Genomic DNA, 25,714 nt, shown 5'->3' on the forward strand with positions numbered 1-25,714 from the left:
CACGCCGGAAGCTGGTCAAAGTTTACCTTTTACTTATTGGAGAACAACAGGTACAAAGCAGAGTTTCTTATATTAAATTGGGACATTTTTCTCTTTTTTTCCTCAAAACCGAGAATGGAAGTGAAAATTAAAATCCAGCAATAAAGGGTTTTCTTTTTAGTTTAATGAAATCAACTCTAAAATTTGCTTTTATTTATATTCTGAAATTTAAAACTTTGTTCTTCGTTGATCTTTATAACATTGGAAAGATTGAACTTACACTTTGCTCTGTGAATCTTTCAATGGTTTGTGACCAAACCATAAATTTCAACCCGACCCAGGAAATTTCTGCGACTTGTGCCCACCCAGTTTTGCAGTTTGGAACAGAATTCTTGCTCCCAATCCAAATAGAGACTGAGAGAAATGAAAGAGGACCCAGAAAGCCTTTTCTTCTCTGTGAAAGGCCTGATCCTAAGTGGCGCAATCAATAAAGAAAAGGGTTCAAGGTGCAGCCTACAAATTTCTTAGAGTTTAATGTGTTCAGGTTGAGGTGGAGAAATTACATAAACCTGTGAATAGACATGGAATAGAAGCCATGTGTATATGCATTCTGTCCCTAAAGGTTTTGCTAGGTACTTACTAAGCTATTCCTTCTGTGCAATCATCTTTCGTTTTTCTACTTGTATGGATGAAAGCCTACCTTCACTGAACACTTCACCTTATGTGCCAGCTATTGTTCTAAACCCATTACATTATTTAATCTTCACGACAATTCTTTAAGGTAGTCTTATTACTATGCTCATTTTATAGATGAGCAAACAAGTTTTCAGGGGTCAAGAAATTTGAGCAAGTTCACATTAACTTGTAAATCACGAAATTGAGCATCAGATACAAGCATCTGGCTGCACTTCCTGAGTTTGTACGTCCTACTCTCATAAAATAGATACATTGAAGACTGAGAAAGAATACTGTTGGCCGATTCCTCAGGCAATAATTTTTTCGATATTGTATTGTTGTCTCAGAAACCTCCAGCCTCTCTCATTGATGGACGGTAGGAGGGGCACATGGAGTGGACCAGGAGTGGGCAGGAGTGGGGTGGGGGCGTGCTTTTAGAAGCGTTTCGGGGGAACGACAAGGCGCGGGTCGTAGAGGTCTACCCTCTCTGCAGTCCCAGCATGGCTCCTGGAGCTCTCTGGGCGGCCGCTGACCCCGACATCGCGGCGGCCCGCCCCCAGCGCCGCGCTGCCCAATCAGCGGCGCGGCCTGGTGCCCCGCCACTCCGCGCCGGCCATATAGGCCTCCTCCTGGCGCGCCTCCGCACCGCATTGGTGGACCGGCCCCCAGCCCGTCCATGGGCGTTGTGGCCGCCACCGCAGGTTCCGCCTCCCGTTCCCTCCGCCCTCAACGTACGTCGCACCGCCTCTCTGTAGCCGCCCGCGGAGCATCGCAGCCGGCCCGGGCCCCCGCCAGCCTCCCTCCTCGCGTCCCTCGGTGTCCTCCGCGGGCCGGCGCGATGCGGCTGGGCCCGAGGACCGCGGCGTTGGGGCTGCTGCTGCTGTGCGCCGCCGCGGCCGGCGCCGGCAAGGCCGAGGAGCTGCACTACCCGCTGGGCGAGCGCCGCAGCGACTACGACCGCGAGGCGCTGCTGGGCGTCCAGGTGAGGCGGCCAGGCCGGTGCTGGGAGGGCCGGGCCTCGCACCGCGGCTGCCGCGGGCTTTGTCCCGGGACAAAGGGGGGCGGCCGGGCGAGGCCTGGCAGGGGCGGCCTGACAATGGGGGCCGGGCGGCGCGGCACTCGCTCTCTGGGGGTCCTGGGGCCTGGAAAGCCTGAGGAGATAGCACGGCCCAAGAGCTGGATCCCTTCTACCCCTCAGATCATGGAGGGTGTGTAGGGGGTAGGGGCCTTGAAGTGCAGGTGCGGGTCACCCCGAAACCCTTTGGCAAGGGGGTCTTCTAGTAGCCCTGTTTTTCTCCACCATTTTGCCCCACTGATAGTAATGCTTGGCCCTCCTGTGTGTCGCTTCCCCCTAAAGGAAGATGTGGATGAATATGTTAAACTCGGCCACGAAGAGCAGCAAAAAAGACTGCAGGCGATCATAAAGAAAATCGACTTGGACTCAGATGGCTTTCTCACTGAAAGTAAGGACTGCCCTACACGACTAACAATGGAGACAAACACAAATATGTTAAGCAGCGGTGTCTGCTGAATGTATAGATTGCTAGTGTCCCAAGTTGGAAGTCCTGTGAGAAGGAGAAAAGGACATGGAGAATAGGCTTTATACTTACAAATCTTTAGACACTGAGAACCAAGTAAAACTCGGTGCTTTCTCCAGTTATATATAAACATCATTGACCCTGTACTCTATGTGGAAGTCACACCTTGAGACACCCTCTTTCTCACGTGACTTTTGTTAGTGTCAACAATATGATTTATTTTAGAGAAATATGCCCCAAAACTTTAAGGCAGTAAATGATTTATCGCTCTTTTGATATATGCTTCATTTAAATTTTAGGAATTTGCTTCTTTTTTTAAGCAAGTAGAAAAAGACCTGTTGCCTGTGAATTACGTTTATTATAACATTATACCAAAATGTTAGAGCTGGTAGGGGCCTTGGGATCATCTTGTCCACATCACTTTGTAGAGATGAAGAAATGAAGCACAGGGATAAGTGCCTTCTACAAATAAGTGGCAAAGCTGGACTAGAATCCAGGTATCCTGCTCTTAATTCAGGTTTTAATATCCTTCAGTTAAAAAAAAAAATCTGATGCTCTCAGGTAAATTCTCTAGTCAGAAATGAAATGCACAGACTATTAAAAGAATGTTCTAAATAAATTGCTGTGCAGTTGTCTCTCCCCATTGTTCAATTCAAATGATGTTCCCTGTCAGCGTTCCAAGTGGGTCCTCAGAAAAATTCAGGTTGTTATTGTGACTCTTAAGTTAGCTGTTTTTCTGTAACTCTCATTTAAATGCTGTTCACCATCAAGGAATTAAGTTGCTGGAGACAATTAAAAACTGGTAAATTTAAGATGTGCTGTCAATGACATATTCACATTGGAACCCTCTGGAAGATTAAGGGCTTTTTTCTTCCACTTAGTTAGACAATAATAACAAGACCTTTGGTCTCTGATTATCCAATCTAAGAATAAGTCAATCTTTGGTTATACTAGAGTAATCAAAGAACACAACACGTTGATTTGGAAGACTGCGTGGTACCTATCTGTCAAGACCTAGATATGTTCAAATATTTAATAGTAAGGTTTTAAGAAGTTTAAACTTAGAAAAGTTTTAGTCCAAATATTCATTATACAGATGAGAAGAAAAGCTTGAGATGGTAAACTACCCCCTGATGGCAAAGCTGAAGTGTGAACCCACATTTCTGATCCCTGTTCCATTCTGTTTTCTTCTATGCCATGGTGATCTCTTTAAATAAACTAGAAGAAAGATTCATGGTGCTTACGAAAGCCTTCATTCTACTTGAGGACCCTTAAGATAATTTTGGCAATTTGCTCTTTGAGGGCCAGGTCTGGAATCAGATGTTAAGAGGTAGCAAAACTCAGTAGGAGTTGGCTTTGAAGCCAGACAGGTTTGAATCTGGACTCTGCTATTTACTAGTTGTGAAGGCTTGGACTTTTCTGAACCTCAGTTTCCTCACCTGTATAATAGTGATGATTATAATTGCATTGTTTTGAAGATTAGAGGCAACATGTACAGAGGAACCTGATAAATGGTATACTCATGCTGTCCTCACAAATATTCGTGTTCGTCCCTCCCTTTGTTTCCTTTAACGTAGTTTAGTAAATATTTTTATGAATAGTTTTTTGTTTTTTTTTTTGAGGCAGAGTCTCGCTCTTGTCACCCATGTTGGCGTGCAGTAGTGTGATCTTGGCTCACTACAGCCTCTGCCACCCAGGTTCAAGTGATTCTTCTGTCTCAGCCTCCCAAGTAGCTGGGATTACAGGCACTGGCCACCATGCCCGGCTAATTTTTGTATTTTTAGTAGAGACGGGGTTTTACCCGAGACCAGGCTGGTCTCGAAATCCTGACCTTAGGTGATCCGCCTGCCTCAGCCTCCCAAAGTGCTGGGATTACAGGCGTGAGCCACTGAGCCCAGCCAAATAGATTTTTTAAAAGTTGATTGAAAAGTGAACATTTGAATTTTAGAAACTTTCCCATGCCTTCAGGTACCAAGTTAAGACAGATAGCTGTTGCAGGAAGGGCATAAATTGCTACCCATAACTTCGTTAAAATTTACTCCAGATGTTTTAACAACATATTTAAAGGTAATATACTGAAGCAGTATTCTCAGTCACTTGAATACCTTTTCAGAATTTAGGCCATATCTACTTAACCATCTATTATTTTCTTACTATAGTTTTAATTCAACTCACATAAAATTTATTTTAAAGGAAGACTTTATGTCACCTTCATAAATAAAAAACACTGTTTTTTCTCATACATACTAAAATAAATAGCTATCAAAATATTTATGCTTCCTGAGAGATCTGTGGTAGTTAGCAAAGGTTTTCTGCAAGATTTTGGATAACATTTTTTTTAAAAGTAAAGTGCTATTTTGGCCAGTTGGTAATTCATTCAACAAATACTTACAGAGCCAGGAACTTTCCAGGCATTTGATGTACATCAGTGAACAGAACATACCCAAACTTTTATGGAGCTTACATTATATTTAGATCATATGTTATAGTATGGAAGCTCCGGCCAGGCATGGTGGCTCACGCCTGTAATCCCAGCAGTTTGGGAGGCCGAGGCAGGTGGATCACGAGGTCAGGAGTTAGAGACCAGCCTGGCCAACATGGTGAAACCCCGTCTCTACTAAAAATACAAAAAATTAGCCGGGTGTGGTGGCACATGCCTGTAGTTCCAACTACTCAGGAGGCTGAGGCAGGAGAATCGTTTGAACCGGGAGGCAGAGGTTGCAGTGAGCTGAGATCGCACCACTGCACACTCCAGCATGGGTGAAAGAGCGAGACTCCATCTCAAAAAAAAATAATTAAAAGCTTCATGAGCTCTTCTAAACAGCCTTTCCCACTTCCTACCCCATTTCTATTAATACAACTAGGCCAATTCTCAGTATTTGCAAACATCAAAGATTTTGCCTTTTCAGAGAAGGTTTGGAAATCCTTACTCTTAAGTATCAGAATTAACGTCACATGCGTTGTGTTCTGGGAAATTCTCATAGGTGAACTCAGTTCATGGATTCAGATGTCTTTTAAGCATTATGCTATGCAAGAAGCAAAACAACAGTTTGTTGAATATGATAAAAACAGTGATGATACTGTGACTTGGGATGAATATAACATTCAGATGTATGATCGTGTGATTGACTTTGATGAGAACACTGCTCTGGATGATGCAGAAGAGGAGTCCTTTAGGAAGGTGAGTTCATGTGCACAAGCTGTTTCTTTTGATCATGTCAGTTCACTTTACCTTCCTGCATGAATGAGCACATTGAGGGCCTGAGGTCATAAGCTGGATTGTCTTGTTCTCTAGGAAATCACCTGTTCCACTTCAGCAGTCATTTTGATGGTTTCCTTTCTGGCCAGATTTAGGACTCTTATTCTAAATTACCTACATGATCCTTCTATCTGTTTTTCTCGGCTGCATCATTTAATTGTCCTCATTTCCAGAGTTGCTTTTTAAATGTGTTTTGAATGAGTATCTCAATATTTTAATATCATTGAATAATCAGTTTTATCTTTATTAAGAAGGCCATTATGGCCCATTCCCATTTTTAAACACATAGTTTTATATACTCACTTAAAAAAACTGCGGTTTCCACATCTGTGGATTCAAACAACTGAGAATCGTAAGTATCCAAAAAAGTAAGTATTAAAAAAAAAAAAACTGTGTCTCTATTCAACATATACAGAACTTTTTTCTCTTGATTATTCCTTAATATAGTATAACAATGATTTATTTCTCATTTAAGTTGTAATTTATATTATAAGTAATCTAGAGATGATTTAAAGCAGAGGTCCCCAACCTTTTTGGCACCAGGGACCAGTTTCATGGAAGACAATTTTTCCACGGGACAGTGTGTGGCGGGGGGGTGGGGAATGGTTTTAGGATGAAATTGTTCCACCTCAGATCAGCAGGCATTAGGTTCTCCTAAGGAGTGCGCAACGAAGATCCCTCACATGTACAGTTCACAGTAGGGTTTGCACTCCTATGAAAATCTAATGCCACCCCTGATCTGATAGGAGGCAGAGCAGAGCTCAGACGGTAATGCCTGCCACTCACCTCTTGCTATGTGGCCCAGTTCCTAACAGGCCATGAACCAATACCCGTCCGCGACCTAGGGATTGAGGGTCCGTGATTTAAAGTATTCAGGAAGATGTGTGTAGGCTATGTGCAAATACTGCACCATTTTATATCAGGGACTTAAGCATTCTCAGATTTTGATAGGGAGGTCTTGGAACCAATTTCCCAGGAATGTGTGAGGGAGGACTGTGTAACAAATTGACCATTGTAACCATTTTAAAGTGTACAGTTGAGTAATATTAAGTACATTCATGGTGTTGTGCAACCAATCTCCCCGACTCTTTTCATCTTACAGAGTGGAGACTCTCTACCCATTAAACAATAACTCCCCATTCCCTCCTCCCACTAGCTCCTGGCAACCACTGTTCTACTTTCTGTCTCTGAATTTGGCTACTCTAGGTACCTCATCTAAGTAGAATCATACGCCGTATTTGTCTTTGTAACTGGCTTATTTTTACTTAGAATCCTCAAGATTCTTCCATTTTGTAGCATGCATCAGAATTTCCTTCCTTTTTAAGGCAAAGTAATATTCTGTTGTATGTACAGGTTGAGTATCCCTAATTCCAAAATCAAAATGCTCTTAAATATGAAACTTTTGGAGCACTGACACGACACTCAAAAGAAATGCTCATTGAAGCATCTTGGATTTGGGATTTGCAAATCTCTGTGGGATCCTGCTTTCCATTGGTTTGGGTATATACCTGGAAGTGATACTGCTAGATCATACGGTAATTCTATTTTTAATTTTTTGAGAAACCACAGTACCATTTTTCATAGTGAGTACACCCTTTAAAATTACTCCTTTTTTTTTTTTATTTTTATTTTTTGAGACAGTATCTCACTCTGTTGCCCAGGCTGAAGTGCAGTGGTATAATCTCGGCTCACTGCCTCCTGGGCTCAAGCAGTCCTCCCAGCACAGCCCCCGAAGTAGCTGGGATTTCAGGCTCAAGCCACCACGCCCATCTAATTTTTGTATTTTTTGTAGAGATGGGGTTTTACCATCTTGCCCAGGCTAGTCTCAAACTCCTGAGGTCAAGTGATCTACCCACCTCAGCCTCCCAAAGTGCTAGGATTACAGGTGTAAGCCACGACACCTGGCCCCAAATTACTCATTTTTTGAAAATTTAGTATCTGTGTGAGTTCTAATGTGTCTCATGGTTTAATTTGTTGAAATATATGCTTCTTAAGCAGAGCTGAGAAAGACTAATTTTATTTAGGAATTAGGAACTTTTTAACACTTCTAGGAAGTCTATTAAACTAAAAGTATATCAACAGAAATGACTGTGAGCTTGAGAAATTGATATATCAAATACTTTTGTATTTCAAAGCTAATTTTAAAGAATTAAAATCTTTTTTATAGGTACATGATAGTTGTATTATACATACTTACAGAGTACATGTGATATTTTGATATCACACAAACGTATATTATAATGATCAAATCAGGGTAATTAGAGGATCACCAAGAATTTTTTTAAGATAGTTTTTATGTGTAGAAAAACATAAAAATAAAATCAAACATGCTGTTGCAAACTGTCCCAAAATATTAGTCAAGGGTGCTTGGAAAATATTCAAGGCTCTTCTGTTTCTTAACTTATCCTGTTTTGGTATATACCTTTTAATTTTTGTTGTGGCCATAATTTATTGTATTAAACAATATAGTGTAACAATGATTTACTCCTCATTTAAATTGTAATTTGTCTTATAAGTAATCTAGAAATGATTTAAAATATTTGGGAAGATATGTGTAGGTTATATGCAAATGCTATGCCACTTTATATCAGGGAATTGAGTATCCTTGGGTTTTGGTATCTGTGGGAGGTTCTGGAACCAATTTCTCACAAATATGGAGGGAGGAGTGCATAACAAATTTACTATTGTAACCATTTTAAAGTGTACCATTCAGTAGTGTTAAGTACATTCACAGTGTTGTGCAGCTAATCCCCAGAACTCTTTTCATCTTGGAAAGCTGAAACTCTGTACCTGTTAAACAACACCCCATTCCCTCCTTGGTAAATGCTTTCTAAGTGTGCTATTTATTTAGAATCATATTGGCCGCTTGAACTCTGTAAGCCACCACTAACTCTAAGTTGGTTAATTCTCTGCTAATAACTACAGCATCAATGTGGAGGTTTGGGGCTCCATCCTCAGAGCCAGTCTGCTTAGCTTCACATTTAGCTCCAGCACTTCACGGTTGTGTAACTTTGGGCAAGTTATTAAACTTTCATGTGCCTCAGTTTCCTCATCTCCAAAAATGAGGATAATAATTCCCATTCAGGCCAGGTGTGGTGGCTCACACCTGTAATCTCAGCACTTTGGGAAGCCAAGGTGGGAGAATCACTTGAGCCCAGAGTTCGAGAACAACTGGGCAATGTGGCAAGACCCCGTCCCTATGGATACATTTTCCTCTTAAAAATTAAATCCTAACTAATCTAAAGCTGTCTAGTTAACAAATGCCCAAACAAAATTTAAAAATTAGATGGGCATGATGGTCCGTCCTGTGATCCCAGCTATTTGGGAGGCTGAGGCAGGAAGATTGCTCGAGCCCAGGCAGTCAAGGCTGCGGTGAGCCATATTTATGCCACTACACTGCAGCCTGGGCAACAGAGAGACCTCATTTCTAAAAATAAATAAATAAATAAATAAATAAATAAATAAATAAATAAATAAAAATTTCCTCTTTAGGATTATAATAGTGTGGATAAATATTAATAAATGGTAGCAGTTGGAGGGGCAAGCAGTTCTGTTTTGATTTAAAAGAATATTGAAGAAAGCATTTACAGTTCACATAAATTTATATTTAATCAACTTTTTAAAACTTTATGCATTTGTTAACTATCAGCTTTAGATTAGTTAGGATTTTATTTTTTAAGGGGAAAATGTATCTTTTGTTTTCTTTTTATTTGGGTCTTCATTCTACAGTGGACTAAAGTGAGTAAAAATCAGTCTTTTTACTGCTTGTAAATACTAAAGGAAAAACAAGTAGTGATAATGAGATTTGGGATCATCTGTCTATTAAGTATCCCCATTTACTATAGGAATTAACTTATCTTAAACCAATGTAACTTATCTAAAACCAAAGCATGGTGTGGTGTGGTTTCCCTTCCTAGGAACAACAGAGAAGTTAAATACAGTATTTTAAAATCTTGCTGGAATTAGATTCTAATTATGTTTTCTATTTTTATTTTTTGTTACTCAAAAGACTTAATTACTATCCCATTAAAAAATAAGAAGTGCATGTTCCTGTATTCTTAGAAGGGGGTGATGTAATAGATGGTGCTGAGAAGAAAATCTTCACTTTGAAGAGATACATGACTCATAAATTGTTTATGAACAGTTCTTTTAAAAGGTGTCTGGTTCTAATTCTGTGTTCTCCACCAGCTACTTAGAATGTGTTGATTATAACACTCTGCTTTTAAAGGATGAATTAGATGAATCTTAACAGCCTAAAGGAATAGATTGATCCCGAAAATGAACACTTCAATGGGAGTCCTTTTGGTTATTTTTTTTTTTGACAGCCTAGGAATATGTCTCTATCTTCATGAAGTTCTAATCATATGTTTTTAGAATTTGCTATAAGTAACTTCCTGTGTGTATGTGTAGTCCCAGCTGCTCAGGAGGCTGAAGTAGGAGGATTGCTTGAGCCCAGGAATTTGAGGCCAGTCTGGACAACATAGTGAAACCTTGTCCCTTTAAAAAAAAAAAATAACGTCCTAAAAATTGATGTGGAGTGTAAAGATGAACCCAGAAACCATATGCATTATTTTTCTAAATAAAAAATAACGGATGAGGAATGAATCAATCTCAAAGTTATAGACTAAACACTATACCATAAATAAAATAATCATAAAAAGTAATTGGATATGTGAATAAAATAAAGTTTTCTATAAGAAAGTCTGTTATAACTGACGAAAGTCAGCTTAATATCTGAACTTCACCTTTTTTTTTTTTTTTTTTTTGAGAGGGAGTGTCGCTCTGTCACCCAGGCTGGAGTGCAGTGGTGCAATCTCGGCTCACTGCAGTCTTAGCCTCCCAGATTCAAGCAATTCTCCTGCCTCAGCCTCCTGAGTAGCTGGGACTATAGGCACGTGCCACCATACCTGGCTGATTTTTGTTTTTGTTTTTGTTTTTTTTAGTAGAGACTGAGTTTCACCACGTTGGTCAGGCTGGTCTCAAACTCCTGACCTCAAGTGATCCACCTGCCTTGGCCTCCCAAAGTGCTGAGATTACATGCGTGAACCACCATGCCCAGTCTGAATTTTATCTTATATTTAATAAGTTTTCATATAGGGAATAAAGATAACCCTTTCAGGCTGTGAAATGCCTGAAGAAGCATTTCTTTATAATATAAAGAACAGTTATGGTCAACACAGGATAATTAAAGTTTGGGGATCTATCTGGCAAAAGTTCAAGTGTTCTTTGTTTTTGTTTTTGTTTTTGTTTTGAGACGGAGTCTTGCTCTGTCACCCACGCTGGAGTGCAGTGGGGCAATCTTGGCTCACTGCAACCTCTTCCTCCCAGGTTCAAGCAATCGTCCTGCCTCAGCCTCCCAAGTAGCTGGGACTACAGGCGTGTGCCACTATGCCCAGCTAATTTTTTAGTAGAGATGGGGTTTCACCATGTTGGCCAGGCTGGTCACGAACTCCTGACCTCAGGTGATCTGCCCACCTCGGCCTCCCAAAGTGCTGGGATTACAGGCGTGACTGCTGAATGTGCATGTATAAGCAGTATTTATTTATGTAAGATATAACCTTGCATGTGGCTAATCAGAATTTTTAATGCCTAGTCATTTGTTCTAGTATCACACATTATATATTTCCTCATGTAGAATCATTAGTCTACCAAAAGATGGCAGTTTTGTTCCTCACAAGTTTCTGTTGTAATCTAAAAATAAATGATTATGGTAGCTTTTTTATTACTGTACCTAACACTTTTTACCCTCTACTAGAATACAAAGTTTTTATATACAAGAAAAAAAAAGAGTGTTGAAGTTTTATGAAACTGACCATCTTTTTTGTTATTTTTTTAGGAATTTGCCATTTGTAAAAAACAGTCTTTCTGTTTTTGGCTTCTTCGATTTAATGTGAGCTATTCTTATTTTGTGTTCTTCAAATGGCCGTGAAATGTGAACCAGAAAAAGCTACCCCCTTCACTTTTTTTTTTTTTAAAGAAATCTCAGCTTGTTGAAAGAGATCCTTTCTTTCCATAGGCAAATTTGGCCAAATTTAGCTCTTCTCCTGAAACATGGACCTTTTTGCTCCAAAGTGAAGGGTTCTTTCATAAGGAAATCAAAGCACTTGGTATTTTGAATAATGGTTTATTCAAAAAGAACTTGATTGACTCAGCAAAGTACCTCAAATTCTTGTTTGTCTGCTTTTACCATGTTAAACCTGAACATAAAATGCAAATTATTTGGTCTAGTTATTTAAAATTTTGAAACATTAAGTTAAAAGCTATTTGGAAACAAGTTATTATTTTTTCTTTTCTGTCATGATTGGGTGAATATAACTGGCTTGTAGAGTCTGATGTTAATAAAACAAATTCTTTGGGGAAAGAGGTGAGCCTCTCCGCTGTAAATCAGTAATTGTAAAAGAACTAGTGTTTAGGTAAATGACTGCTACCTGACCTCTATTATTCTAGAAGACTGAAGAGGGTATTTTTATTCAGTAGTGAAACACTTAAAAGCTTCTAAAATATTTGAAATTGTGCTTTAAAAAAATGCACAGTTTAATACATATCAGTTTATAGGAAGGAAAGCTATTCCCAGAAATTCTCAAAACAGAAATTATGCAGGATTAGCAGTATAGCATTATTGGCTCCCAAGGCTCTTGGTTACAGAATTACCATTGAAAATTTTATCAAAAGCAGCCTTGTCCCTGATAGCTGCCGAATCATTTTTAAAAAGGGGGGTGGATGGGAAGATGGGAGAGAAAGTAGAAAAGGATATGTGTTTATTAAACCTTAACATGGGATCCATTTAAACTTTTGATGTTATTTATATCTGAATATACAGAATTAACACTATAAAGAGCCTGCTAAGACTAGACTTCCAGGCTGAGCACGGTGACTCATGCCTGTAGTCCCAGCATTTTGGGAGGCTGAGGCAGGTGGATAGCCTGAGCTCAGGAGTTTGAGACCAGCCTGGGCAACATAGTGAAACCCCATCTCTATCAAAAATACAAAAAATTAGCTGGGTGTGGTGGCACATGCCTGTGGTCCCCACTACTTGGGAGGCTGGGGTGGGAGGATCACTTGAACCTGGGCGGTGGAGGTTTCAGTAAGCCGAGATTGCACCACTGTACTCCAACCTGGATGACGGAGTGAGACCTCATCTCCCCACCCCCCAAAAAAGAAAAGATTTCCAAATATTAGGTACATATACTAATATTATGAGATTCTCAACATAAGAAGACTGTTTTTCTGAAACAATAATGTATTTTTGAAAAGTCACTTAGAGGACCAGAAACATTTTTTAAAAGCCCTACCAAGATTTAATACATGGTATAAAGTTATTGATTTTTGGGCATTCAAAAAAGTATTGAGATTAATTATTAAAGTAGACAGTATAGTACTGTAGAAAGAATAGGGAGGATCCAAGTTCAGTAGTTTTGTTTGTTTTTTGAGTCAGGGTCTTGCTATGGTGTGAAGGCTGGCCTTGAACTTCTGGGCTCATGCAGTCTTCCCAAGTTGCTGGAACTACAGGCGTGCGCCACTATGCCATGCTCAGTATTTTTTAGCTGTATTTCTGACTTTTATCAAATCATTCAATCTGCTTTTCTATCAATAATAGTATATAACACTAAATACTTAAGGTTTATTAATGGTGTGGTAGGGATTCTCATCCCAATTGCTTATTAGAGATTTTTATCCCAGTTTGATAGATGAGGAAACCAGAGAGGTTAAGCAGTTTGCGCTGACACCACAGCTAGTAAGTGGCATTGCTGGAATTCAGGTCTGGGTCTATATGACTCTAGAGCTTGTGAGTCTATCCTGCCCCTAATACATGTATTTGTGTAGCTTACCTTCAAAGGGACGATGTGAAGATAAATGAGATAACGGATGGGAATGTACTTTAAATTTCACATAGTTTGTATTTTTCAAAGTATTTAAAATGATGTGGTATACTAATGAGAAATTTTAATTTTCAAAGCTTCACTTAAAGGACAAGAAGCGATTTGAAAAAGCTAACCAGGATTCAGGTCCCGGTTTGAGTCTTGAAGAATTTATTGCTTTTGAGCATCCTGAAGAAGTTGATTATATGACGGTAAGAAAGAAACATTTTTAAGAGAATTATTGAGTGACCAAAACTTTAAAAAAATATATTTAAAATTTTTGTGGGTACATAGTAGGTATATATGTTTATGGGATACATGAGACTTTTTTTTTTTTTTTTTTTTTTTTTTGAGACGGAGTATCGCTCTGTCGCCCAGGCTGGAGTGCAGTGGGGCGATCTCGGCTTACTGCAAGCTCCGCCTCCCGTGTTCACGCCATTCTCCTGCCTCAGCCTCTCTGAGTAGCTGGAACTACAGGCGCCCGCCACTACACCTGGCTAATTTTTTGTATTTTCAGTAGAGACGGGGTTTCACCGTGGTCTCAATCTCCTGACCTCGTGATCCGCCCGCCTCGGCTTGCCAAAGTGCTGGGATTATAAGCGTGAGCCACCGCGCCCGGCCGAGATGTTTTGATACAGGCATGCAATGTGAAATAATCAGATCATAGACAATGAGGTATCCATCCCCTCGAACTTTTATCCTTTGTGTTACTAACAATCCCGTGAACACTCTTTTAGTTATTTTAAAATGTATAATTAGTTACTACTGACTATAGTCAACCCTGTTATGCTGTCAAATAATAGATCTTATTCATTCTTACTGTTTTTTTTGTACTCATTAACTGTTCTCAGCGCCCCCTCCCCCAACACTTCCCAGTCTCTGGTAACCATCTTCTACCGTCTATGTCCATGAGTTCAATTGTTTTGATTTTTAGATCCCACAAATGAGTGAGAACATGGGATGTTTGTCTTTCTGTGCCTGACTTATTTCACTTAATATGATCTCCAGTTCATCCATGCTGTTGTGTGGATCAACATGTTGTTGCAGGATCTCTTTCTTTTTTATGACTGAATAGTACTCCATTGTGTATATGTACATTTTCTTTATCCATTCATCTGTTGATGTACGCTTGGGTTGCTTCCAAATCTTGGCTTTTGTGAACAGTGCTACAACAAACATGGGAGTGCAGATATTTCTTTGACATAGTGGTTTCCTTTCTTTTGGGTATATACCCAGCAGTGGGATTGCTGGATCATATGGTAGCTCTATTTTTAGTTTTTTGAGGAACCTCCAAACTGTTCTCCATAGTGGTTGTATGAATTTACATTTCCAAGTAACCAAAACTTTAAAACCTGTTCATTAAGTTGTTAAAATGAATTGTATAACCAGAATTTTAAGAGATACACAGATTTAAAATGATGCTCATTCTCCCCACTTAAAATTAGGCTTGGTAAGGAGGCTTTCTTGTGGTGACGAAGTTGCTTATTGGGAGGGAGAAGGTGAAAGACTGAATTTTTAAATCTCTGTACTATGTATGAACAGCAGGCTTCCTCAGGCTATTTTCTCTCATAACTGTGTTACCTTCAGTGCCTTCCTTATCCTTTTGTAGCTTTCAGATTTTTTTTGGTTTTTCAATGTTAGTAATATTAGGATTTCTGTTTAATTTACAACATCACTTATGAAAGCTTTTGGTCTGGAAAAACATCATGTTTGGATTCTTCATAGGGTTGGTAGGGGTGCAGCTGCTAGTTAACTAGTAATGTTTTTGCAATTTTAAGTATAATGAGTCCTCTCATCCCTTTAATATTTAAAATAAGTACCAGTTTTTCAAAACTTTTGTTGAATTGTAAGTTTAACTCAACAAACATAAATTGAGTCCCTATTATGACTTGGCCAAGCTTGAAAGCATAAACCATCACACTGGGAAATAAAGACTAATGTAACAAATAGCTTTTTAAAAAAGAGACTAAACATTTATATTGAAGTCTGTTGCATGACATCAGCCTCCAGCTACGTGGCTTGGTTCCCTGGATATTTCAAAGAAGGAAGATATATCTTTTTGTTTAATGTGTCATGGTAGACCCTGCTGCCTTGCATAACAAGGCTGCAGATACATTTTTCTCCATAGCTCAGTGGTAAGACACTGTCATTAATACCACTTCTCTTGCCATTGTGAAGCTTCTAATTTCTCATTGGCACAGAATACATGACCCAGTTTAAGAACAGTGCTGGGTGTAATTTAAGTACCAAAATTAAGTTGGGAAAAGCTAATTGAGCCCAAGAATGACAGGCAAAGGATGCTAGATCTTGATTCTCTGGAGAATAAGGAACAATTGAAGACTAAAGAGGGGAATTACCAGTAAAAGCAATGAAATAATTTAGGCATAATGTGATACGGCCCAGAGTTCTATCTGGCAATTGAATGAAATAGATTTGAGCAACATTTTGAAGAAAGCATATGCAGGAATGTTGACTTACTAAATAAGTGTTAAGGGAAGGCAAGAGTCAGAGATGGGCCAGGCATGGTGGCTCACACCTGTAATCCCAGCACTTTGGGAGGCCAAGGCAGGAGGACAGCTTGAGGCTAGGAGTTCAAGACCAGCCTGGACAACATAGCAGACCTTGTCTCTACAAAAAAGTTAGCCAGGTGTGGTGGCATGCACCTGTGGTCCTAGCTACTTGGGAGACTGAGGTGAGAGGATCACTTGAGTCCAGTAGTTGGAGCCTATGATGCCACTATTATTGTGCCACTGCTCTCTAGCCTGGGTGACAGAATGAGATCCTATGTTAAAAAAAAAAAGAAGGGGGAGGGCTAGGCGGAGTGGCTTACGCCTGTAATCCCAGCACTTTGGGAGGCTGAGGCTGGCAGATCATCCGAGGTTAGGAGTTTGAGATCAGCCTTGCCAACATGGCAAAACACTGTCTCTACTAAAAATATAAAAGTTAGCTGGGTGTGGTGGCATACGCCTGTAGTCCCAGCTGCTTTGGAGGCTGAGGCAGGAGATTTGCTTGAACCCGGGAAGCAGAGGTTGTAGTGTGCTGAGATCATACCATTGTACTCTAGCCTGGGCTACAGAGCAAGACCCCATCTGAAAAAAAAAAGGAGATAGGAAGATATTGAGGAAAGTACTGAAACAGCTGGCCATTGAACAGGTCATCTTTAGGGAAAAGGATTGGTTGTTTGATAAGAAGCTTTGATAAGAGGGAGGAACAGATTTGGGGGCAGTTTGGGATGGATAGGGCTAGGTTTGCTGAAGGGGAAGCAAGGAGATTGAGGTATAATGGCGGGCTGGTACATTTTAGATCTGGAGGCAGAACAGCAGTTCTAAGGTAAGGGCTCTTTTAGGGTTGTTCATGGATTGGAGGGCAAATGAAGTTAAAGACAAAGGTAGTATAAGATGCTTTTCTTGAGAGGGAGAGATGTGCGGAAAATAGCATGAGAGTAACGCTGAGGTTGTTTATGAGAGTGAAAGTGGAGTTCTTCACAATATCAGAAGCTTAAGGATGTTGAATTTAAAGCTACATAGTACTTCAGGTTTTATTCTTGCTTCTAAATTCCAGTGTTTAGAAGGATTGTCTTGAAGATATGGACAACCAAAGTGATTTTTCCTGTATAAGTACCTTACTAGCTGATTGCACCACTAGAGCTCCAAAAATTATCATTTATTTCTAAAGAAGTTCTGTAGTAGAATTGAATCGGATGGCAGTGGGACTGAACATTTTGTAACTTTTTTTTTTCTTTTTTAATGAACGTGGAATAGGAATTTGTCATTCAAGAAGCTTTAGAAGAACATGACAAAAATGGTGATGGATTTGTTAGTTTGGAAGAATTTCTTGGTGATTACAGGTGGGATCCAAGTAAGTCACCTGGGAGAATGTGAAAAGAGAAAAGGAATTGAAGAAAGACATTGAAAGACAGCCTTGCTCATTGAAAGCTCTCTTCAACAGGAAATGTAATGAGGATCTGTGTCTGATCCTACTTGTTTCGTTAACTGTAATACAAGTTCAACAAATGGATTTATAGCTTATCTGAGAACGCTGTCTTGCTTACTTTTACTTCCGTGTCTAGAGTCAAACATTTTTCTTTCTTTTCAAACAAATCTAATTTTATTATCAGTTTAAATGGGGAAGGAAGTAAGGTAGATATTTTTAAACAAAATCCTGTGCTGTTGCAGGTGGATCTTAAAAGAGATAGAAACATAAAACACTACAAATACTGGTGTAAACACAGTATCAGAAGCTTAGTAGAAGGTGAATAAGTGTTTGAAATTAAGAGTTTGCTTTTATATAAGCAGCTGTTTTTTCAGAATTGTTGCTTAAAGACACCAAACAATGCCATTTTTAAATTGGTCACCAGTTTTACTTATTCTGATTGTCACTTTAAAATTACACATGGCATTACTTTGTGAAAACATGTAAGAAACTTTGTATAGAAACATGATATACAGTAAAACATTACCCACCTCACATCTGGGAAAACTAGATATCGGAACAAATAGCAGTTAACAAAATTACTAGTTTGTGAAAACATCCAATGATTTTAAAACTGGGTTGTTTAGACTCGTGTCACTTTTGAAAATGACTATATATTTGTTCTTATGTCAGGACTTTTCAGTTAAGTAGTTCTGTTTTATTGGGCTTTCTTTAGTAAACTTTAAATTCACTTCCTTTATTCTAGGGATATACCAAACTTCTTATTGGATACATGTGATATTCTTGTGTATGTATATTTGTGTTTTTTTATATTAAGCTGCAAATGAAGATCCAGAATGGATACTTGTTGAGAAAGACAGATTCGTGAATGATTATGACAAAGATAACGATGGCAGGCTTGATCCCCAAGAGCTGTTACCTTGGGTAGTACCTAATAATCAGGGCATTGCACAAGAGGAGGTAAGTGTTACAGAACAACTGTTTCTCTCCACCCCCTCCCCCCGAATTTGGTGCTGTTGATAGGAAAAGAAGTTCAAAATCTTAAGCCAAAGAAAGAAGTAATGGAGTTATTTGGGATTGATGCATTACTATGTTTTGAATTTACGAACTGTTTAGATTGTCAGGGAGACGAGGAAGTTAAGATTGTGTCATGTATTAATTTGAGAGTACAGTGAATAGAATAATAGTTTGTATTTACCTACAGGGACTCAAAACAGGTTATAATAATTTTTCATTGCCTTGATATATCCTGGATTGGATTTGAGTGGAGAGAGACAGAACCCAGCAGAAATGAAGAAAGGAGATAATGGGAAAAGCAGTAGACGGACCTGGTTACAACGTGTAACATTTTTAGATACTTAAACAATAATGAGTACTTGTACACCTGGATGATTTTGACAAGTCAAATCACATTAAATTGTGAACATCTTGCTGAAAATACTTATTACACTTGACACTTTTTTGTTTTATTTTGAAGGCGCTTCATCTAATTGATGAAATGGATTTGAATGGTGACAAAAAGCTCTCTGAAGAAGAGATTCTGGAAAACCCGGACTTGTTTCTCACCAGTGAAGCCACAGATTATGGCAGACAGCTCCATGATGACTATTTCTATCATGATGAGCTTTAATCTCTGAGCCTGTCTCAGTAGAGTACTGGCTCCTTTTATAATTTGTTACCAGCTTTACTTTTGTGATAAAATATTGATGTTGTATTTTACACTCTTAAGTCTTAACCACAGTCAGAATTATCTTAATGTAGATTATAATTTTGGTCTTTTAGGAAAAAAAAACAAAAATCTGATATTTATTTCAAAATGTATTGAAGCAACAAAATATTAATATTGTGCCATATGACAACAAAGTCTTTCCTAAATACTCCATCTGTTTAGTACTGTATTGTGGAATATTTGAGTTCTATTTCCATACTTGAAAACATGGAGGATTTTAGAGATGCCTGAACAATATTATTTAAGTAGTATGTGACCGAGCTATAAATTTTTGTTTTTGTTCTAAGTAGATTTAATTTGGGAACTGACAGGACAATGTTTTTAGGTTTAGCATTTTGTTTAAAAACCTTTAAAGAAACCTTTAGAAGGACTTAGACCTCACATATTAATGTTGAGAAGTTCTGCTTAATTTTAAAATGGTTTCTATAAAGGGTTTTATTGTATGAAATAGAACTTTATATTTTTGCATATGTATAGATAGTAATTATATTTAATGTATAACTATAGCATTATGGTGAGTGGAATTTGACATTGTCCAAACCTTTTTCATTTTTGAGTGATTAAAAATGAAATGTCCTTTGTATATGTTTGTTTGCTTTTCTTTAACTTTCAGATAAATATTGAATTTAGCATAGGTTTTGTGGTATTGTACATTATCTTGCCTCATCCATTCCTTTATGTGGATAGTTCCCAAAACTGTCAAATTATTCTTGCTGCATTTTCTTATTTTTTTTTTAAATAAGAGAATCATGTTATAATATAATTGAATGTGCACCTGACACATTTTAATAATTGGTGTTGTAGCAAATGTGGTTTTGCTCTTTGGGGCTATAAATAATCTTGAGTAACGCAGGTTGGAATTACCAATAGAGCTGGTCAGTTATCAACAGTAGAGCTCAGTATCAATTTTACTGAAATTAAAATCATACTTGATAAGCATGATAATCAATTTTAACCTAATTCAGCAGGTCAACTTATTTAACTTTGGTGGAGGTGGGATAGGGAAAAGTGAAGGGAGGAATTAATTTTTTTCTAGTTCTGATGTACAGAGATTGTTTTTCATTCTTTTTTTTTTTTTTTTTTTTGTGACAGAGTCTTGCTCTGTGGCCCAGGCTGGAGTGCAGGGGCACTATCTCGGCTCACTGCAAGCTCTGCCTCCTGGGTTCACGCCATTCTCCTGCCTCAGCCTCCCGAGTAGCTGGGACTACAGGCGCCTGCCACCACACCCGGCTAATTTTTTTGTATTTTTAGTAGAGACCGGGTTTCACCGTGTTAGCCAGGATGGTTTCGATCTCCTGACCTCATGATCAGCCCACCTCGGCCTCCCAAGGTGCTGGAATTACAGGCGTGAGCCAACGCGCACGGCCTCTAGTTTTTCATTCTTTAAATCACTTTTATTTGTGGGTGAAGAGGTCAGCTATGCATTCTCTTAATCACTTTCCAGCCTAAAGTTGTCTCATATACAGCACACTGGGGGCTCAACAAGTACCTATGACTATTTGAGAAGACATGAAACTCTTCTCTGATAGAATCGACTGCACCTATATACCTCTCTACTGCCGCATCTTTGCTGATGTGAGGTGTGCTTGCAAATTGTAAGCTTCCACACCTTAATGACTGCTTGCTTGGGTATCTACATGGTTTTCATTTTAACCTACACTATATGTCTGGCTATAGCAGTTTTAGAATTACAGATTTACCACTATCACTCATCTGTCATTTGTCAGACTCACTGAAGCTGGCATATTTGAAATCACCAGTTTGACTAGTTAACTATTTGTTTTTCTCTCTAGCTTCTCCAAAATCTATGCCAGAATAGATCATCAGATATGGATTATATTTCAATCCTTTGCAGAAATGCAATGTCTGTACTACTTTCCTTCCTAGCATAAAGAAAACTACACTTCCCAGCCCTCTTGTAGGTAGGCGATGGCTAGTTCTGACCAGTTAAACATGGGTGGAAGTAGTGTGTGTCACTATCAGACTATCTCATGACAAACCCTTTTCCTCTGCCACAGCACTGTGCAGGAGGCCTCAGCTGAAATGGTGCAGCCACAAGATGAAAGTGGCTTTGATCTTGAGTCTGTGTAGGTCAGCTGGATCCACAGTGGGCTTTGTATGATCAAAAAATAAGCTTTTAATTATGTTAAGCCACTGAGATTTGGTTGTGCTTTTTTGTTTTTAACCACAGCAGAGCCCATCCTGCTGTGACTGAGTGAAGATTTCACATTTAACAATAGGCTTTTAATAAGCATGCAGAGAAAAAGAATCATCTGCTTGAACAGAGATGCTATATCTACTGCTGAGTCAAAATAGAAAATTTTAAGGCTTTTTTTAGATTTGAATTTTAAATAAGACTTTTAAAATAAAGCTTTTATTTTGGTTTTAATATAATTAGGATAATTTGAATTTATCCTTGAGCATGAGAGTAAAAATAGTTTGAGACTTTCTGAATCATTGGCTGATTCTGCCTGAAGGACTTAATGACTTCCATTATTTGAGTTCAGGTACAACTTCAAAGGGGAAAATTGAATGGGATGTGCACATGTTGGCTCATATGTAGTTCTGATTGGGCCAATTTGCAGGACAGAAAATGATGTCTAGATTATGATATAAATTTAAAGGAAGCCAGGACGTTCAGAGGAAAAGCTAGCATATCATGTTTGCCTTACTTAGTTCTTTCCTTTGCAGTTTTAAAAATAGGCTTTTTTTTTTTTTAGTGTAGTTTTATGTTCACAGCAAAATTGAGCAAAAAGTAGTATAGAGAGTTTCAATATGTCCCCTGCCCCACATACGTACAGCCTCCCCCACTATCCTATCCTATATGTCATGAGATAGTACCTACCAGAGTGGTACATTTGTTAAAATCGATGAAACTGTTAACATATCATTGTCACCCAAAGTGCATAGTTTACATTAGGGTTCACTCTTGGTGCTGCACATGCTCTGGGTTTGGACAAATGTATAATTACATATTCCCACCATTGTAGTGTGGTAGAATATTTCCCTTGCCCTAAAGTCTTTCTGCTCCACCTATTCATCCCTCCCTTCCCTGTAACCCCAAGCAATACTGATCTTTTTACTGTTCATAATTTTTTAGATTGTAGTAAAATACACATAACAAAATTCATCTTAACAGTTTTTAATTGTACAGTTCGGTGGTATGGTATTAAATACAGTCAAAATGTGAAACTATTACCACCTTCCATCTCCATGAACTTCATTTGTAAAACGGAAATTTATACCCATTAAACAATAAAGCCCCCTTTCCCCTTCCCTTCAGCACCTGGCAAACACCATTCTAGTTTTTTTGTTTGAGATGGAGTCTTGCTCTTGTTGCCCAGGCTGGAGTGCAATGGCATGATTTCGGCTCACTGCAACCTCTGTCTCTTGGGGTCAAGCGATTCTCCTGCCTCAGCCTCCCGACTAGGTGGGATTACAGGCGGGCACCACCATGCCCCCTAATTTTTTGTATTTAGTAGAAATGGGGTTTCACCATGTTGGTCAAGCTGGTCTCGAACTCCTGATCTCAGGTGATCCACCTGCCTCAGCCTCCCAAAGTGCTGGAATTACAGGCGTGAGCCACCGTGCCCAGCCTCCCATTCTAGTTTTCTTTTTCTTTCTTTTTTGAGACGGAGTCTCACTCTTGTCATCCAGGCTGGAGTGCAGTGGTGCGATCTCGGCTCACTGCAACCTCCACCTCCCAGGTTCAAGCGATTCTCCTGCCTCAGCCTCCCAAGTAGCTGGGATTATAGATGCCCGCTACCACGCCCGGCTAATTTTTGTACTTTTAGTAGAGACGGGGTTTCGCCATGTTGGCATGGCTGGTCTCGAACTCTTGACCTCAGGTGATCCACCTGCCTCGGCCTCCCAAAGTGCTGAGATTACGGGCATGAGCCACCGCGCCCAGCCCCATTCTAGTTTGTGTCTATTAAAATAGACTCATATAGTATTTGTCTTTTTGTGAGTGGCTTCACTTAGCATAACGTCCCCAAAGTTCACCCATATTGTTACCAGAATTTCTTTCGTCAGGCTGAACAATACTTTATTGTTTGCATATACCACATTTTGCTTATCCATTCACCCTTTGATGGACACAGGTTGCTTCCACCTTTTATTGTGAATAATGCTGCCATGAATATGGGTGTACAAATATTTCTTTGAGATCCTGCTTTTAGTTCTTTTGGATATATATTATACATAGAAGTGGGATTGCTGGATCATATAGTAATTCTATATATATATATATATATATATATATATATATATATATTTTTTTTTTTTTTTTTTTTTTTTTTTTTTTTGAGACGGAGTCTCGCTCTGTCGCCCAGGCTGGAGTGCAGTGGCGCGATCTCGGCTCACTGCAGGCTCCGCCTCCCGGGTTCACACCATTCTCCTGCCTCAGCCTCCCGAGTAGCTGGGACTATAGGCGCCTGCCACCGCACCCGGCTAATTTTTTGTATTTTTAGTAGAGACGGGGTTTCACCGTGTTAGCCAGGATGGTCTTGATCTGCTGACCTCGTGATCCGCCCGCCTTGGCCTCCCAAAGTGCTGGGATTACAGGCGTGAGCCACCGCGCCCGACTAGTAATTCTATTTTTAATATTTTGAGGAACTGCCATAGTGTTTCCCACAGCAGCTGTGCCATTTTGCATTTCCACCAATAGTGCACAAGAGTTCCAGTTTCTTTACATCCTTACCAACACTTGCTATTTTCTGTTTTTTTTTTTTTCTTTTTTTTTTTTAATAGTAGCCATCCTGTTGGGTGAGACGTGGTATCTCGTTGTGGCTTTGATTTGCATTTCCCTAATGGTCTGTCTCTACAGTTTTGCCTGTTCCAGAATATCATTCCTTTGCAATTTAAATGTGAGGATAAATGTATGCTATTGTTTCTCAAACGTTTTTGTGTTACAATACCTCCTTTTGAGTGAGAAATGTCAACTCAAACTTACACTTTTTCACTTAGGAAGATGATTTAGGAAAGCCACTTAGAGTAAAAGTTTTTAAACAACTGTAAAAACTAATTTGCTTCATTGCAACATTTGAGTTCTGTCGAATAAATATTTGGCCAGATTTCCTGCCTGCTATAAAATTTTTTATAACTAGTAACCAATTACCTAAGGGCCTCCAGTGCAGCTACTAAAACGTCTCTATTTTATTTGGCGGGGGGGGGGGGAAACACCTCAATCCAAGCACAAAAAAAACAAGTACTGCTGAATACCTACAGTTTGCCCTATCTTTATCTCAAATTAACCAGTTAGTTCCTGAGCTGTAGAAAGGAAACCATTTGAGCTTATAAAACTATTTTAAAGTGATTATGGGGATTTTTAAAAATCTCATAGCTTTTAATCATGATTTTTCATACCTTAAAGAAAAAAACCCTACTTTTGCTTTCTGTTCCACAGAGATATTTTTCTTCTGAGACCAGGTTCCAATGAACAGAGGGCATCAACATTTTGCTCAGTTATTGTACCATTAGCAGTGATTGGTAACCTAAGTAGAGAGACTGTTCCATTACAATGACACACTAAAAGCATAAACTAAGGTCTTTTTGTGCCAGCTGCTGGCCTGTCTGAATTAATGCTTTGTTGTTCCGTCTACAACAAATGATGTCATGCAAGTGATTTATTTTGTAAGAGTACTCTGTAATGAAAAACTTGATTGAAGTTAATTGTGGACTCCCTTCATGGTGGTAAGGAGGCTAGGCTGAGGCTGAGCTATGACTAAGCTACAGTTATTTTACCTCGCTGTCATATAGCAATTAGTCTTTAGCCCTTCCACTTTACAATCCCAAATGACTAGGCAAAACTCTCCTAAACTTCCAAATAACCCACCAAAGCAAAACAACTATTACTAGGAGCTTAGAGAAGGAAAGAGGCAAGAATGATTTACCTTGATGCCACCTTCCTTCTGCTAAATTTAAAGATGTAAGAAAATCTAATTTATAAAATTTCATTTGGCAAAAAGAAAAGGTAAAAAGTTTACCTGGAAATCAATTGTCCTACATTAAAGTGAAAAAGGCCAGGCACAGTGGCTCATGCCTGCAATCCTAGCACTTTGGGAGGCTGAGGCGGGAGATTTGCTTGAGGATAGGAGTTCAAGACCAGCCTGGGTAACACAGGGAGACCTCATCTCTACAAAAAAAAAAAAAAAAAAAAAAAATTAGCATGATGTGGTGGCTTGTGTCTGTAGTCCCAGCTACTTAGGAGGCTGAGGCAGGAGGATTACTTGAGCCCAGGAGGTTGAGGCTGCAGTGAGCTGTGATAACACCACTGCACTCCAGCCTGGACAACAGCATAAGACCCTGTCTCAGAAAGAAAAAAAAGAAAAAGTAAGCTCCTTGAGGGCTGCAACTGTTTCTTCATCACTGTATCTCCCCTGCCCAGCATGTGATTAGGACATACTAGATAGTCACTGAATAAATTTACTAATAGAATGATACAAGATGAGAGAGAGCTGACACATTATCAGTTTATTTCAGTCACTGTGTTTTTTAATGTCTCTTAGTCTGTTCTTGTGATCTTTATATTCTTTATCTCTTTGGATATTTAAATATATCTTAAAATACTTTGGGATTGTTCTGTTAATTCTTGTGGTGGTCCCATCTGTTAGTTCACTAACTCGCATGTGGTTTGCACACTTTGACTGACTGCATCTTAATGAGCTGTTTTCATGGGAGTCAGGTGTGTCCAAGACGGTGGAAGTGTCCTTAAGCAGCATGATTTCCAATTTACCTCTTTATT

The 25,714-nt window shown here is 39.2% G+C and overlaps 1 protein-coding gene across 2 annotated transcripts, besides 1 other annotated feature; it reads left to right on the top strand.

The window, feature by feature from the left end:
• Window positions 1,093–1,842: a silencer, noted in NCBI's record as "silent region_6693". NCBI's record gives its function as "represses an Ori minimal core promoter by ATAC-STARR-seq in GM12878 lymphoblastoid cells {active_cell/tissue: GM12878}" and the evidence as "EXISTENCE:reporter gene assay evidence [ECO:0000049][PMID:35858748]".
• Window positions 1,400–24,044, top strand: RCN2 (reticulocalbin 2). 2 transcript variants are annotated; one of them, NM_001271837.2, is made up of 8 exons: window positions 1,400–1,636; window positions 2,012–2,117; window positions 5,177–5,373; window positions 11,288–11,341; window positions 13,409–13,522; window positions 17,072–17,168; window positions 18,061–18,203; window positions 18,721–24,044. In NM_001271837.2, exons 1-8 carry the CDS (start codon window positions 1,493–1,495, stop codon window positions 18,871–18,873), a joined length of 1,008 nt encoding a protein of 335 aa, NP_001258766.1. In that variant the 5' UTR covers window positions 1,400–1,492; the 3' UTR covers window positions 18,874–24,044. The 2 variants fall into 2 exon arrangements, with proteins under 2 accessions (NP_001258766.1, NP_002893.1); NM_002902.3 differs by lacking the exon at window positions 11,288–11,341.
• The last annotated feature ends 1,670 nt before the right edge of the window (window positions 24,045–25,714 follow it).

Source organism: Homo sapiens, chromosome 15 (genome assembly GCF_000001405.40).
Source record: "Homo sapiens chromosome 15, GRCh38.p14 Primary Assembly".
NCBI lineage: Eukaryota > Metazoa > Chordata > Mammalia > Primates > Hominidae > Homo > Homo sapiens.